General features: G+C 42.1%; 1 pseudogene; it reads right to left on the bottom strand.

Moving 5' to 3' along the window:
- Window positions 1-4441: 4441 nt before the first annotated feature.
- LOC107985640 (X antigen family member 5-like) lies at window positions 4442-14815 on the bottom strand (annotated as a pseudogene).
- Between the last annotated feature and the right edge of the window lie 758 nt (window positions 14816-15573).

Genomic DNA, 15573 nt, shown 5'->3' with positions numbered 1-15573 from the left:
AATATATTTTTTCATTATTCAAGATAAGAGGCTTTGTTCTTCTCTTGAAGGAGGGGTTTCCCAAAACATGGCACATAGGCCTAACAGGCATCCCTAGATGAAACCATTGGTCCAAAAACTTTTTTTTTCTTTTTTTGAGATGCAGTCTCACTCTGTCACTGGGCTGGAGTGCAATGGTGCCATCTTGGCTCACTGCAACCTCTGCCTCCCTGGTTCAAGCAATTCTCACACCTCAGCCTCCCGATTGGGTGGGATTACAGTCGCATGCACCCACATCTGGCTAATTTTTGTATTTTTGTAGAGATGGAGTTTCACCTTGTTTACCAGGCTGGTGTTGAACCCCTGACCTCAGGTGATCAGACCACCTCAGCCTCCCAAATTGCTGCGATTACATTTAGGAGTCACATAGCGCCCGACCGGTCCAAAAACATTTTTAAAAAATTAATGAGAACACACCTATTTTACTGTGGTACAGAAACATGTAACTAGAATACTAAAGCCATCTGAAACAGTGAGTGGAAACACGGAGAGAAGAAATGATGTCTCAATCCCTGTGGAGCAAGTCCACAACATCTCATGCAAACACGTCCGACCTTTCTTTAAAATTATTAAGAGTCAGGGAAGGAGAAGCACCAAACCTCATTTTTCATCTACATAAAATCCATCAGCCTCACAGTCACCACATCTCATTCAGGAGCCCCTGCAGCTGCCTGGATCCAGCCTGATATCCCTCTTACTAATACATAATACACGACTGACACCTCTGAGCTCCATTTGTATCCTCACACCATAAAAGATAATTCTGCAGTAAAGGCCCCTTCTCAAAATCCACACTGCTTAGAGAGGGCAAGGGCATTATAATTAGCAATGATTTCTCTCTTTTACAGAGATTATAAATATTTTTGTTCAAAAGGACTGAAAAGCTAGGGTTCAAATAAAAAGTGAGTCTAAATGTAGGGGATCCCATTCGCCACAAAGTATGTGAGAAGTTCCTAGGCTGTAGAGCTGAATGAAAGAATTAGGGCCTAGTAGAAGAAAGGGGAAAGTAACCAGGGCAACTTGCTGAGCAAAATGACTTGGGTCCCAGCTACACTGTCTCCTCACAGACTATAACATGGAATACCCATGAGTTTCCATCATGGCCCTGACACACTGGCTTGAGATGATGAGCAAAGTACTTATATCCTGTGGGACTGTTTCCCCATTTCTAAATTAGAAATGAGATTATTTACACTAAATGATTGTTATGAAGAATAAAAGAAGTAACATACCGAGAAGGCATTACAGTGCACATAAATTTGGTTTACAAGTTATTTATTTTTTTCTTTAAAATTTAATCTTTTCACTTGATTTGCCTTTACAACTACATCTATATTAAGTGATAGCTACCTTTGTGAAATGCAAGTAAAAATACGAAGTTACCTTTTTAAATGCATTTGACTTCCATAGCTTATTTGATTTAAATATACATGTTCATTAATGGTGTCACACATGGAATGAATTCTGAAATATTTTTGTAAATACCCAACTGTGACAAGGAAAATCCTGTCAGTAGTATGTGCTGAAAACTTTGCTCCTTGCTCTGTGTGATGCCATGAGGAATAAGTCAACATTCTGATTGGGCAACACCACATAATTCAGTACAATTGTGTGTCAATTGCTCAGGCAGTACCTAAGCAGCCCTGTGGTGGCTAACAGGGCCACAGGGATCACCAATACGGTTGTTAGTCTGGCTTGTCACATATCCATAGATTTGTCCGGTAAGAAGACAGTGAGCTCAAATGGATCCAATTGACTGATTGCTTGCAGACGCAGCAAAAGCAAGATCACCATTGTGTCAGCACCATGTCCCTAGTCCCACAGTATGACAGTGAATCAGAGGTACTCAATGACAGACAGCATAGATGGAGAGTCTCTTTTTCTGTGAGGAACCTACAGCTGTACCCTAAGACCAATGGTGAAACCGCACTGAATACTCAGCTTAGGATCACACCTGACAGAGCTGCAACATCAGCCGGGACAGGAGGGGCAATCCAGCTCCTGAACACAGAAGACCTATGGAAGTCATTCATGCTTGTGAAGATGAGGAACTGGTGTCAATGACTATGCTGAACTGACTGCCTTCTGACAGTTCCCCTAAGCCAAAGATGCAGATGCATTGTTTGGACTGGATGAGGAACCCTAGAGGAAAGGTCTTACAGAAGGATGCCATGTTGGGGCCTTGGCCAACTTCTGCCTGACTAATGTATGTCCCGGAGGGGTGCTCTCACAAGGGTAAACTCTTGGTGTCCAGGGGTATCATGTGTGCCCTCTGGCAATGTGCTTGCATGTGTCCCCCGACTATCCGGACCCTGCCTGGGCCCTGGAAGGCATTCATGGCAGCTACAGCTTACTGGCCAGAGTTGAGCTGAGCCTGAAATGGTGGCTTGGACTGGACAAAAGTGGTTAATACAGAATCTTAGTTAGGAAGTCCCCTGCCTATCTAAGATAGACATTCATCATTAATAGCTTTTGTGCAAGACAGCTATGATGGGAAATTTGATGTGTCAACTTTGCTGGGCCACACTACGTAGGAAATTCTTCACTTTAATCAATGTAGCTGTCTCTCTGAAGGGGTGTTCTGATATGAGACTAACACTTAAATCAACAGACTTTGAGAAAAGCTAATTGTCCTCCACAATGTGTTTGAGCCTCATCCAGTCACTTGGAGGCCTTCAAAGAAAAAGACTGGGGCCCTCCATAAGATGAAAAACATCTGCCTCCACACTGCGCTTAAATTTGAGCTATCACATCACCTCTGCCAGGGGACTCCAGGGTGACATCCTGCTCTGCAAAGTTTGTACTTTCCAGCTCCCATAGTTGCCTGAGACAGTTTCTCAAAATCTCCTCTCTTTCTCTCTATCTCTCCACTCACTCCCCTCAACACCCACACAAACAGAGAAACCCCAACCAATAGGCTGCTTACATCTGGGACCCTTAAAGGGCATAACTGAGATCAGTACTGCAGGCTGGTATCACTCTGATGCATGGCTCCTAAGGCAGAGGCCTGTGGCATTCCCCTCCCACCCTCTGCAGACTGACATCCACGTGGCTCATCACTGTGCCTTAGGGTTTGATCATCCAACCATGTAGAGATCACTACAATTCCACAAGTGTTCCCTGCCCTCCATCTGCCTGTGAGGTCCTCTGTTCCATCCCAAAGACATAGGGGTCTACTGGGTAAAATTTCAACCTTTCACAAAGGACCTGGGAACCTAGTGAGAGAGATACATCTGCAAAGAGAACTTTCAGTGCAGTAACAGCAAGGGGCATAGCTGGTGTTTTCACCAACTCAAGGGAAATTACACTGTGAACATCTCCCACTTCATTTTCCCCAACAATTGACAGCTTATCTTGGAAAAGATACTGTTGGTAGACAAGCTGGATTTCCCTCATTCTATTTTTCCCAGGCATGCACAGGTGCAAAGCAAACTGATATTGGAATGTTGTATCAGAGTGGAATCCAAGAATGAAATGCCCTGCAGTGATGTGATTTTCCAAAGCAGTCAACAAGTCTTCATAAGTTCCCAGATAAAGCAACATATAAGTCTCCCTCAGTTTACAGGGAAGTGACATGTATGGAAAATCCAGTTTATTTAAGACTCAGGAAAAAAAACTTTGCCTCTCCCCATAACCTTAATCCCCAAATGCCAGTAACCTCTGACAATAATTCCAACAACCACAGCTACCCTCAGAAATTTCCAAAATGCCCCAAAATGGGCAATGATGTTCTGGCTATAAACCGCAAGTTTAGGAATGCAAAGGAGTACCCTCAAACTTCTTATTTACATCAAAAGCATAGCAATGTTGCAGTCAGTACAGAGGAAACAGCTCAGTAACAAGGGGAAGGACACAATGTTCCCCAGGAGGAGTTGCAGGCACCTTCCTCCTCTGTCTTGCTTTCCGTGATAAGAAAATGGTTCATGGCAAGGTGAGGTGGCTCAGACCTCAAATCTCAGCATGTTGGTTCATCGAAGTGTGAGTATTCTTTAAGCTCTGGGGTTCAAGACCAGCCAGGACAACAGAGGGTGACCCCATCTTTACAAAAAAGTTAAAAATATATACCTAGGCATGGTGGCCTGTGCATGGTATATGAGGATGAGATGGAAGGATTGCTGGAGTCTGGGAATTCAAGGCTACAGTGAGCCACAATTTCTCTATTACATTCCAGGCTGAGCAACACAGTGAGACCCTGTCTCAAATAAGACAAAAAGAAAGAAAATATTTCACGGCCAGCTGGGGTGTGTGGTGAAGCTTCATTTCATAGGTCAAGCACTGCCATGGGACATTGATGCTCAGGATGGTTCTGTGGTAGGCATGTCTCTGGGATCCTTGGATCAGTGTCCTTCCCCTTGGCGAGGACAGCCCTCTCCAGGTGGGGACACAGGAGGAAGGGGCCAGGCTAGGTCGTCAGGCTACCAGGGACACCTGTCTGCTGTGGGATGGCAGATGAGATCAGGAGAAGGACAGCTGAAAGGAAGAGAGGGGGAGACGCACTCCTCAGGTGAGGGGCCGGTCTCCTAAAAAGGGAAGACATTGGCCCTAAGTCGTGTCATTGCTCTAGGCTCCCGTGGAAGCACATGATGGTGCAAGAAGGAAACCAAGGCTGGTGGGAGGGGAACAACAGCTTGCATCACGCCCCATCCTATGTGTTCAGTGGCCCCTGAGAGGAGCCCATGCCTTTCTGGGATCTAAAAGGTCATTTCCTGACACAACTCCATTCACCACCCACGAGGAGCAGGGATTTGAGATAAACAGGCCTCTGGGGAGAAAGGCCAGTAAGAGTTGTGAGGTCTTCTCATAAGATACACTGCCTTACCCTTATGATGAGTCTCACACTGCGTTCATCCTGTCCTGTGTTCCTGTGTGTTGAGGTCGCTCTTCTCAACCTCATGTCTGTCCTGGGAATATTTTTCTGGGTATATTGCAGAGAGTCTTGTTACCTGAGGGATTTAATAAGGTTTCTGAAAGTTCCCTAGGATGGGGAGTAAATTCCCAGATCCTAGGACACAGTTGTGGCCACACTAAATGAGCTTCACTGGGTGTGATTCCTGGAATCTGCACTTTTAACAGATCTTGGATTCTAACTTTCATGGAAACTTGTCTGAGAACTATTAGAGCAGGGGAATAGTCTCATTTCCCAGCTACACGGCTTCTGTCTCCTTTGTAAAAGTATAGAAGGGACAGGTTTGGTGCCTTCTCTGATGGACGAACTCAAGACCTTCAGGTGAGGAGACGGACACTCACATGCTGGCTGTTATTCTAATGACACTCTCAGGATGCCGTCTCCAAATGATACCCAGACCAGTCCTTTCAAGTCTCCATCTCTTAAAGATTTCTGAAGAAATCAAATGTCTTTTGCCTGTGCAGTTTCATGCTCTAACATTCTAAAGTTTTGCAGTAGCCTTTGGATCTTACTCTTGATTACACAAATATGCAGCTCAGTAGAGTTTTCACCATGCCTGTGGCCTTTGGCTCCACCACTCACTGCTGGGTGACACTGAGACAGTTCCTTATCATCTCTGTGCCTCCTTTCTCCATTAGTATCATGGAAATACTACTAGTAATGTCATCTATTTCTTGGGGCAGTTTAGAGCATTGAGTGTATTAAGACATGCACAGTTGTCAGGACATTGCCAGCCATATCATAAATTTCCAATCAATTCTAGCTGTTATTGTTGCCAAGATTGTTGCTGTGTCCACATTTCCCTGGGACATGTTCCAGAGAGACTATGTCATGAATACCTTTGACCCCTTGGATGATCTTTCTGTTATCACTTCAGCTCTTTTGGGACTCAAGAAATGAGTCTGTGTGGCTGGAAGGAGGGCACATTTTTTTTAGAATAATGAATAATCAATGCTCCTCATGGGGTTATTCTAAAGCCTAAATTTAAAGCTGGGGTTTTGTCTTCATGAGCTGGTATGGAGAATTTGAATGAAAACTTTCTAGGAAATTAGAGCTCTAATTACCTCTTCATATCATTTGTATAATTCTTGGGCAAGTAAGTAGTCACTGGATGAGGGTAGCACATAATTATATAGAATTTTAAAAATGTATGCATGTACTATTTCATAGTTAGTGCTTTTTGTATCCTGTCTATCTTTGTCTTACAAGATGCTGCAGATTCCCTTACATTTTCTTCTACAAGTGTTGTAACAGTAGCTTTTACATTGAGTTCTATGATGTATTTTGAGTTCATTTTTGTATATGGCGTGAGGCAAAGATTAAGGTTCATTTTTTTGCATATCAATGTCCAATTGTTCCAGCACCATTCCTGGAATAAAACATCCTTCCCCACTGAATTATCTTGGCACTTTATGGAAAAATCTATTTAACTTGCATATATAGATCTAGCTTCAGACTCTTATGCCTTTTCCTCTGCCAATATCACAGTGTCCTGATTAGCATAGTTGTCAAATGCATCTTGAAATCAGATAATGTGAATACTCCAATATTATTTGCCCTTTATAACATTGTTAGGCTATTCTAGTCCCTTTGCTTTCCCATATAAATTTTGAAGTCAGCTTGTCAATTTATAGAAACAAGAGTTTGCAAGTATTTTAATTGGGTTTACATGGAATGTACAGATTATTTGGGAGAAACTGACATATTGACAATCTTAAGTCTTGGGATCCTTTAACGTGGTATGTCTCTCCACTTATTTCAGCGTGCTTTCATATTCCTCCAAAATTTTTTTTAGGGAGTCTAAGTCTCTTTGTAGGCCTCTAAGGACTTCCTTTATGAATCTGGGTGCTCCTGTGTTGGGTGTATATATATTTAGGATAGTTAGCTCTTCTGGTTGAATTGATCTCTTTACCATTATGTAATGGCCTTCTTTGTCTCTGTTGATCTTTGTTGGTTTAAAGTCTGTTTTACCAGAGACTACGATTGCAACCCCTGCTTTTTTTTTTTTTTTGGTTTCCGTTTTCTTGGTAGATCTTCCTCCATCCCTTGAATACAGCACACCGATGGGTCTTCACTGTTATTCAATTTGCCAGTCTGTGTCTTTTAATTGGGGCATTTAGCCCACTCACATTTAAGGTTAATATTCTTATGTGTGAATTTGATGCTGTCAATGTGATGTTAGCTGGTTGTTTTGCCTGTTAATTGATGCAGTTTCTTCATAGCGTCGATGGTCTTTACAATTTGGTATATTTTTGTAGTGGCTGGTACCGGTTGTTCCTTCCCATGTTTAGTGCTTCCTTCAGGAGCTGTTGTAAGGCAGGCCTGGTGGTGACAAAATCTCTCAGCATTTGCTTGTCTGTAAAGGATTTTCTTTTCCCTACACTTATGAATCTTAGTTTCACTGGATATGAAATTCTGGGTTGAAAATTCTTTGCTTTAAGAATGTTGAATATTGGCCCCCACTCTCTTCTGGCTTGTATGGTTGCTGCCAAGAGATCTGCTGTTAGTCTGTTGGGCTTCTCTCTGTGGGTAACCCAACCTTTCTCTCTGGCTGCCCTTAACATTTTTTCCTTGATTTCAACCTTGGTGAATCTGACAATTATATGTCTTGGGGTTGCTCTTCTCGAGGAGTATCTTTGTGGTGTTCTCTGTATTTCCTGAATTTGAATGTTGGCCTGCCTTGCTAGGTTGGGGAAGTTCTCCTGGATAATATTCTGAAGAGTGTTTTCTAACTTGGTTCCATTCTCCCCATCACATTCAGTCACACCAATCAAACGTAGATTCGGTCTTTTCACATAGTCCCATATTTCTTGCAGGCTTTGTTCTTTTCACTCTTTTTTCTCTAATCTTGTCTTCTCTCTTTATTTCATTAATTTGATCTTCAGTCACTGATATCCTTTCTTCCACTTGATCAAATCTGCTATTGAAGCTTGTGCATGCATCATGAAGTTCTCGTGCTGTGGTTTTCAGATCCATCCGGTCATTTAAGGTCTTCTCAACAGTGTTTATTCTAGTTAGCCAGTCGTCTAATCTTTTTTCAAGGTTTTTAGCTTCCTTGTGATGGGTTAGAATATGCTCCATTAGTTTGGTGAAGTTTGTTATTACTGACCTTTTGAAGCCTTCTTCTGTCAACTCATCAAACTCATTCTCCGTCCAGTTTTGTTCCTTTGCTGGCGAGGAGCTGCGATCCTTTGGAGGAGAAGAGGGGCTCTGGTTTTTGAGTTTTCAGATTTTCTGCTCTGGTTTGTCCCCATCTATGTGGTTTTATCTATCTTTGGTCTTTGATGTTGGTGACCTACAGATGGGGTTTTGGTGTGGATGTGCTTTTTGTTGATGTTGATGCTATTCCTTTCTGTTTGTTAGTTTTCCTTCTAACAGTCGGGCCCCTCAGCTGCAGGTCTGTTGGAGTTTGCTGGAGTTCCACTCCAGAACCTGTTTGCCTAGGTATCACCAGCGGAGGCTGCAGAACAGCAAATATTGCTGCCTGATCCTTCCTCTGGAAGATTCGTCCCAGAGGGGCACCTGCTTGTATGAGCTGTCTGTCGGCCCCTACTGGGGGTTCCCAGTCAGGCTACATGATGGTCAGGGACCCACTTGAGGTGGCAGTCTGTCTGTTCTCAGAGCTCGAATGCCATGCTGGGAGAACCACTGCTCTCTTCAGAGCTGTCAGACAGGGATGTTTAGGTTTGTGGAAGCTGACTGCTGCCTTTTGTTCTGATATGCCCTGCCCACAGAGGTGGAATCTAGAGAGGCAGTAGGCCTTGCTAAGCTGCAGTGGGTCCGCCCAGTTCAAGCTTCCGAGCCTCCTTATTTACACTGTGAGCACAGAATCACCTACTCAAGCCTCAGCAATGGCGGACGCCCCTCCCTTCGCCAAGCTGCAGCATCACAGGTCGATCTCAGACTGCTGTGGGAGCAGTGAGCAAGGCTCCATGGGCATGGGACCCTCTGAGCCAGGCACAGGAGGGAATCTCCTGGTCTGCCGGTTGTGAAGACTGTGGGAAAAGCGCAGGTACAGACTGTCATGGCTTCCCTTGGCTAGCAAAGGGAAATCCCCTGACCCCTTGCACTTCCCGGGTGAGTCCACGCCCCGCCCTGCTTCAGCTCACCCTCCGTGGACTGCACCCACTGTCCAACCAGTCCCAATGAGATGAACCAGGTACCTCAGTTGGAAATGCAGGAATCACCCGTCTTCTGCATCGATCTCACTGGGAGCTGCAGATTGGAGCTGTTCCTATTTGGCCATCTTCCAAAAATGATACTATTTTTTATTAAAACAGTCTCAGTCACCCGGGCTGGAGTTGCAGTGGCATGAAAATGTCTACCTGCATCCTCAACCTCCTAGGCTCAAGGGAACCTCTCACCTCAGCCTCCAGAGTAGCTGGAGTATACACCTGCATTACATGCATACATTCATTTAGAGTAGCTGGGACTACACCTGCATACATACATGCATACATTCATGCATTCATTCATTTATTTTTGTAGACAGGGGGTTTCAGCAGGTTGCCCAAGCATGTCTCAGTCTCCCAAGCTCAAGACATCCTCGTGCTTCAGCATCCCTATGGCTAACATTCAACTAAACCTCTGTAGAGACTTTGAAGATACACTTCCAAGGGTACATATTAGTAACATTTTTTAAACACACCCTTCTTTTAGTGCTAGAAGGAAACCAAAAGACAGTCTGAGGTCAGAACACATTAAATCAAGTGGACCTATTTAAAAGGTGCTTAGAGTAGATAGCAAACATTTTGTAGAGTTTTACTCAAAATACGACCAGGACATAAAAAACCTAAGCAACAGAAGGAATTTGTGAAAAATGTATAATTTAATGTGTTGGCTTGAAACTATGGTCTTGATGTCCAATAAGCTCCTGCAAAAAGTCTGAAAATTATCTTTGGAGAAAACAGTTAATGTCACATTAGGAAATACATAAGTGAAATGAATAGGAAGGCCAGTATTGCATTTGTTTTTTCTCTATTGTGCTGAAGTGCAGCAATATTCCTTTGGGCTAGGTTACCCTTCTGTGTTTTTTTTTAACATAAAGTAAACATTTGCATCCAGTTTTCACCTATAGTCCTCATGAGGATATGAATAATGACACTTTAATCACCAGAATGTATTCCCGTTTATATAATTAATTAAATGGTCATATAAGTTTTAAGGTATCAGGATCTTTATTGACATTAAAACGTGAAAGAGTTATACATCATAACCAGTGTGGCAAAAAAAAAATGGAGGGGGAAAAGAAAACGGAGAGTAAGGCATCTGGAAAAGCTAAATATTTGCTTCTAAAAGTAACTGTTTTGAGGGATGACCAGCAAATTCCACAAGCTCATGCACAGTCTTTGTGATGTTCAGATATTCAGGTATTAAAGGGATACGTTAAATAATGTAGGTGTTCCTAGCATGTCAACCATTTCATCCACACTCTGAAAATATTAGTGTTCAAGAATGTATTCCCTTTCAATCATGCCTTATATTCAATATCTGTGTCTTGTTCATATTCCGTGTTGTGCTTTTTCCATTTTCCTCAAGATTGTTTAAGCTACTGGATGCTCTCTTCCTAGATATTTCACAAAAGAACGATCTGTTAAATTTATTACTTTTGGATTAGTTTTCCTTTTGTTAATGATTCGTACCTTTCATTTACTGCCTGTTTCCCTTTCCCTTAAGTTTCTTTTGTGACTCTTTTTTTATTTCTTAGTATTATTTTCTTGTATCATGTAATTTGCTGTCTATTTTAATAGGATATGCATATAATGCTATGACTGTCCTAAGAATACTATTCAGGCTTGTTCAATAGGCTCCTGGAAATCGCCTACAAGCTATCCTTTAATGTAAATAGTCAAAGGGAGTGGTTCAGCAGTGTGAAGTAAAAACATTTAGATATTCTCCCCTATACGTGCAGTGCTTCCTTTAAATTCAGAAGTTCTTCTAATTAAGTCAGCAATTTGGAAAACATGTATGAAAAATACTTATGTGGACTACTCAGGACTTAGTACATTATAGACTTTGAACTCTAAATCATATCATCTGATGACTCAAAGCAGAAGCCTGTAATATAACCTCTGATATGGTTAGCGGTTACCATATGTGTCTTCAATCTAATTACACACAGTAGCTCATGAAGACTGACAGGAGGACAGGGAGCATGCTTAGCACAGGCATCTTACAACCACCTTGAGCATGACTGACCTACATGCATTCTCCCTACTTCATGGGTCACAAAAACCTGACTGTCTCTATCGATTTTATTACTCAGTCATTCAAGGCTTCACTGCGGGAAGACATTAAAATGTAATCATTGGGTCTGGCGCAGGAGGAGGTTCACCCCTATAATCACTCCCAACATTTTGGGAGGCCGAGACGAGTGGGTCACTTGAGGTCAGGAGTTCGAGCCCAGCCTGGCCAACATGGTGAAACCTCGTCTCTACTAAAAATAAAAAAATTGGTTGGCATGGTGGCAGGCATCTGTAATCCCAAATGCATGGGAGGCTGAGGCTTGAGAATCGCTTGAACCCGGGAGGCAGAAGTCGCAGTGAACCGAGATCAGAACACTGCACTCCATCCTGGGTGACAGAGTGAGACCCCATCTGAAAAAAAAATGCAATCATTGTTTAAGAGCCTGAGAGAATTCAGGATTTGACAAAATCCAAGAACACTCATGAAGGTCTCCATACAGGAAAACAAGCATCAAGCAGAGTGCCTTCTCATTTTCTTAGGAGCAATGAAGTCTCAACTCAGATATTTTAATTGGACTAAAGCTGATTGTTATGATAAACAAATCATGAAAATCAGAATATCTGTATATTCTCTGCAACAAGACGAAAGCATGGAGAAACCAGCACTGAAATGGATTTTAATGTATCTTATGTGCATTCACTATTTTCAATAAAAGCAAAAATGGGTGTAGGATTGATGTGATTTGTCCAGAATCTCACAAATTATGTTGGAGCTGGTACTAGAATCTCCTTCAGGGATCAGCATATATCATACAAAGTGGTATTACAAATGCATTATTTATTTGTGAGAAACAGAAATTGCAAAATAATCTGAAAATTGTTAGCTGTTGGTTATACTTAGAAGTAACAAAATGCTTTGCTATTCAATGGTTCAATATGGCTTTGACCCAATTTGTGTCTGTATCTGATAGTGTTTCAGTTTTGCAGTCAGGCTTCTAGGGTCTGATCTACCTTTCGAAGAAAGTCTGCATTTGAACTCAGTTTTTGGAGGGGCAGTAATATTCTCTCTTTTTATTGTCAAAAGTGTAATATTGTGGAATACAGAAAGCACGTAATTTTGAATCTTAATGGATAACATACCTCCTTCTGGCATTTTAAATTGCTCTGATTTTGGCAGAATCTTCCCCTGGATATCAGGATCATCTCCGCATTCATCCCCAGTCTTTGACTGAGACAGCTCCTGGAGATCAGCTTCCAGGTCAGGCACTAAAAAATACCAAGGAAATCAACTGGAGCAGCCAAAGCAGAATGATAAATAAGGAAATGATCCTGTTCTTTTCCTCAGTGTGATGCAATAAAAGCCTAGAGGCTACTGTGGTAATAAATGTGATGCAAAGATGTCCCCGTTTGTTTTCCTGTATTATGATATCTTATCTTAAATGACAATCTGAGGATAAGTCACAGCACACCTGCATTTCCCATACTTTACCATTGTGTATTATAAACACACAGCTACCTAGGAAACCTGAAGATGGCCTCGTGGATAGCATTTTAATCATAACTTAAATGTAATTTTCTGAAGGATTAGATCAATGTATTGGTGAGCTTATGACAAATCCTATAGTCCTGATACTCATCTCCTGTTGAGGTATCTTGAAAATGTTGGGGTTAAACTTAATCAAAGTTATTCTTAGGTCAAAAGGCGCTATATGTGACTTTCCATACATGAATGTCATTAAGAAAAAAGTACGGAATATAAAAGCAAAATCACTGTCTTCCAGTGAGAGTATGGGAACTGAAGTGCAAATAAATTAATGGGCATTGTTGACAGTCATATTCTGGAAACCCCTTAACAGGGAATTGCCAAAATAACCCATGGCCCAAATTCTGTCTCTGATTAGTTTGAAAATGCTATCTGTTGAGGAAACAGTTTCTGTTTCATGATAATCTTATCATACTTAGAATTTTCTAATTATAAAAATATTGCAACAACTTTTAAAAGCCCCTTCAAAATCCTACAAATACAGTTACCTGTATGCCATTGTCCTGAATTATCCAGCTTTTATCAAACATACGGTCAAAAATATAAATCAAAGGAAACAGTGGCTGTCATTTATTGGCCTCCTTTCTGGAGTTGCTATCTTGCTTCACTGAACTGCGTTTTGCCCTGAGCCGATACCAAATTACCTTATAGTACAGACACATTTGAATATTAAGCATTTTTAAGCAAAATCATTCACATTTTCTAAAATAGAATGCAAACCTTGGAACAAAATATGAATTCCTTCTCCATGAGCCAAGTGTTCTTGGTAAGTCTCAACCTCTGATTCTCAGTTTTCTTATTTATTTATTTATTTTTATTTTTATTTTTGGAGACAGAGTCTCGCTGTGTCACCGAGGTTGGAGTGCAGTGGTGCGATCTTGGCTCACTGCAACCAATGCCACCCGGGCTCAAGTGACTCTCCTGCCTCAGCCTGCTTAGCATCTGGGATTACGAGTGTGTGCCACCATGCCCAGCTAATTTTTGTATTTTTAGTAGAGATGGGGTTTCACCATATTGGCCAGGCTGGTCTTGAACTCCTGACCTCAAGTGATCTGCCCGCTTCGGCCTCCCAAAGTGCAGGGATTACAGGCATGAGCCACCACACCGGGCCTCAGTTTTATTTATAAAATGAGGTTAACATCCCTTTGCAAATGGGCTTTATTCAGGGTATTATAAGGTAGGGCGACTTGGCACTCCACATGCTATTAAAGGGTGCTTAAAACACTGTGAATACCATGGCTGAGAAGATCTCACTGCAACATCCTAAGAATATCAAGTTAAACTAGTGAAATAATGTACATTTTTATACAACCAATTAAATGATTTCATCTGATTTAGGAAGGACTGTACTTTCAAGCCTACAAAATGCATCTCGAAGAAAAAGAGAAGATTAATCATATCCAGGGACTGCAGGAAGCTGCAAACTATACCCGTCACGTTTCCAGCCAACCCTCAGCAAATGTTTGAGATCCTTTCCTAGTGTTTTCTTTCCTCCTCTTACTGGTCATGGCATAAGGCATGATGCACACATAGGCCTCCTCCCCCCGTAGACATTCTTTCTTTCTCTTCCCACCACTTTGAATCTCAGCTGCACCCTGATCTTCTTCTGTCTTCTGACCAGATGTACTATCCTGACTTTCAGCTGGTGGTTCTTCTTGTTGAGGCTCTGGCACACTAGGCTCCTGGGAAAAGGGGGTTTTCTGTGTGCATGTGCAGATAAAAAATTTTTCTTATCAATGCATGTCAATAACACGAATATACAGATTACATAGATACTTCTGATCATATGCATGTTTAAAGACATGCTGCAACACTAGCTATGTGCTAGTGTAATGAGCTATGAATAAGCATGAGGAGGAAATCACTAGTCAAATCTGGGGAACACAAATTCCCACATCCAGGCAAAACCAGTATGTAGTCCTCTTGGGTTACTGTTTCCTTCATGAGATGCCGCAATGGTTTTTTGTCAACATGGGAGACCTTTATCAGTGCATCTATGCTAGTTCAACAACACTATCACACACAAAAAAATTCTGCTAATAGAAAACATTGAATGTTAAGTCACTCACAAGCATAGGCCCAATCAGCTGAGCAAGTCGTAAACATCATCTTGGTTCTATATCATCTTCCTCGCCAACTCATATTTCAGTCTGCAAACAGAATAGTGTGCACTTTGGGAGGCCAAGGTGGGTGGACCACCTGAGGTCAGGAGTTCGAGGCCAGCTTGGCCAAAATAGTGAAACCCCATCTCTACCAAAAATACAAAAACTTAGCTGGGCGTGGTAGCAGGTACCTGTAATCCCAGCTAGTTGGGAGGCTGAGGCAGGAGAATCGATAGAACCCAGGGGCAAAGGTTGCAGCCAGCCGAGATCATGTCATTGCACTCCAGCCTGGGCAACAAGAGCAAAACTCCCTCTCAAAAAAACCAAACCAAATCAAAACAAAACAAAGCAAAAATTAGAAAACTGTGATTGGAAAAATGCACGTGAGAGGATACTACGTCCATGGCCAAATGTTAACTTGCAATTTATAAAAGTTTGGTAAGACATTGAAAAGTAAGTCAGAGAGCATGTATAAGTGTGTATGCCTTCTGAATCGAATACTTGCACAGCCACTTACGTTCGTCAAGTAATGCCTTAGGGCTTTACTGAGCTGAGCAATGCCTTAGGGCTTAGGGCAAGAGACACACAGTATTTCCAATGAGGTTTGGTTTCACAACTGGACTCTCCATGGTGAGACACTTAGGAAAATACAGCTTGAGAATTCAAATTAAAGTGTCCACAGCTTTTGTCACGCACCCATTTGCTAGGCCCATTTCCCCCACAAAATCGAGTTTTGTTGGAATGCAGAGCCCCGTCCGCGCATTCGAACGTCCAAGATGAAGTTGAAAACTTGCCACA

Source organism: Homo sapiens, chromosome X (assembly GCF_000001405.40).
Source record: "Homo sapiens chromosome X, GRCh38.p14 Primary Assembly".
Classification (NCBI taxonomy): domain Eukaryota; kingdom Metazoa; phylum Chordata; class Mammalia; order Primates; family Hominidae; genus Homo; species Homo sapiens.
This window is presented reverse-complemented; position numbering and strand designations above follow the sequence as displayed.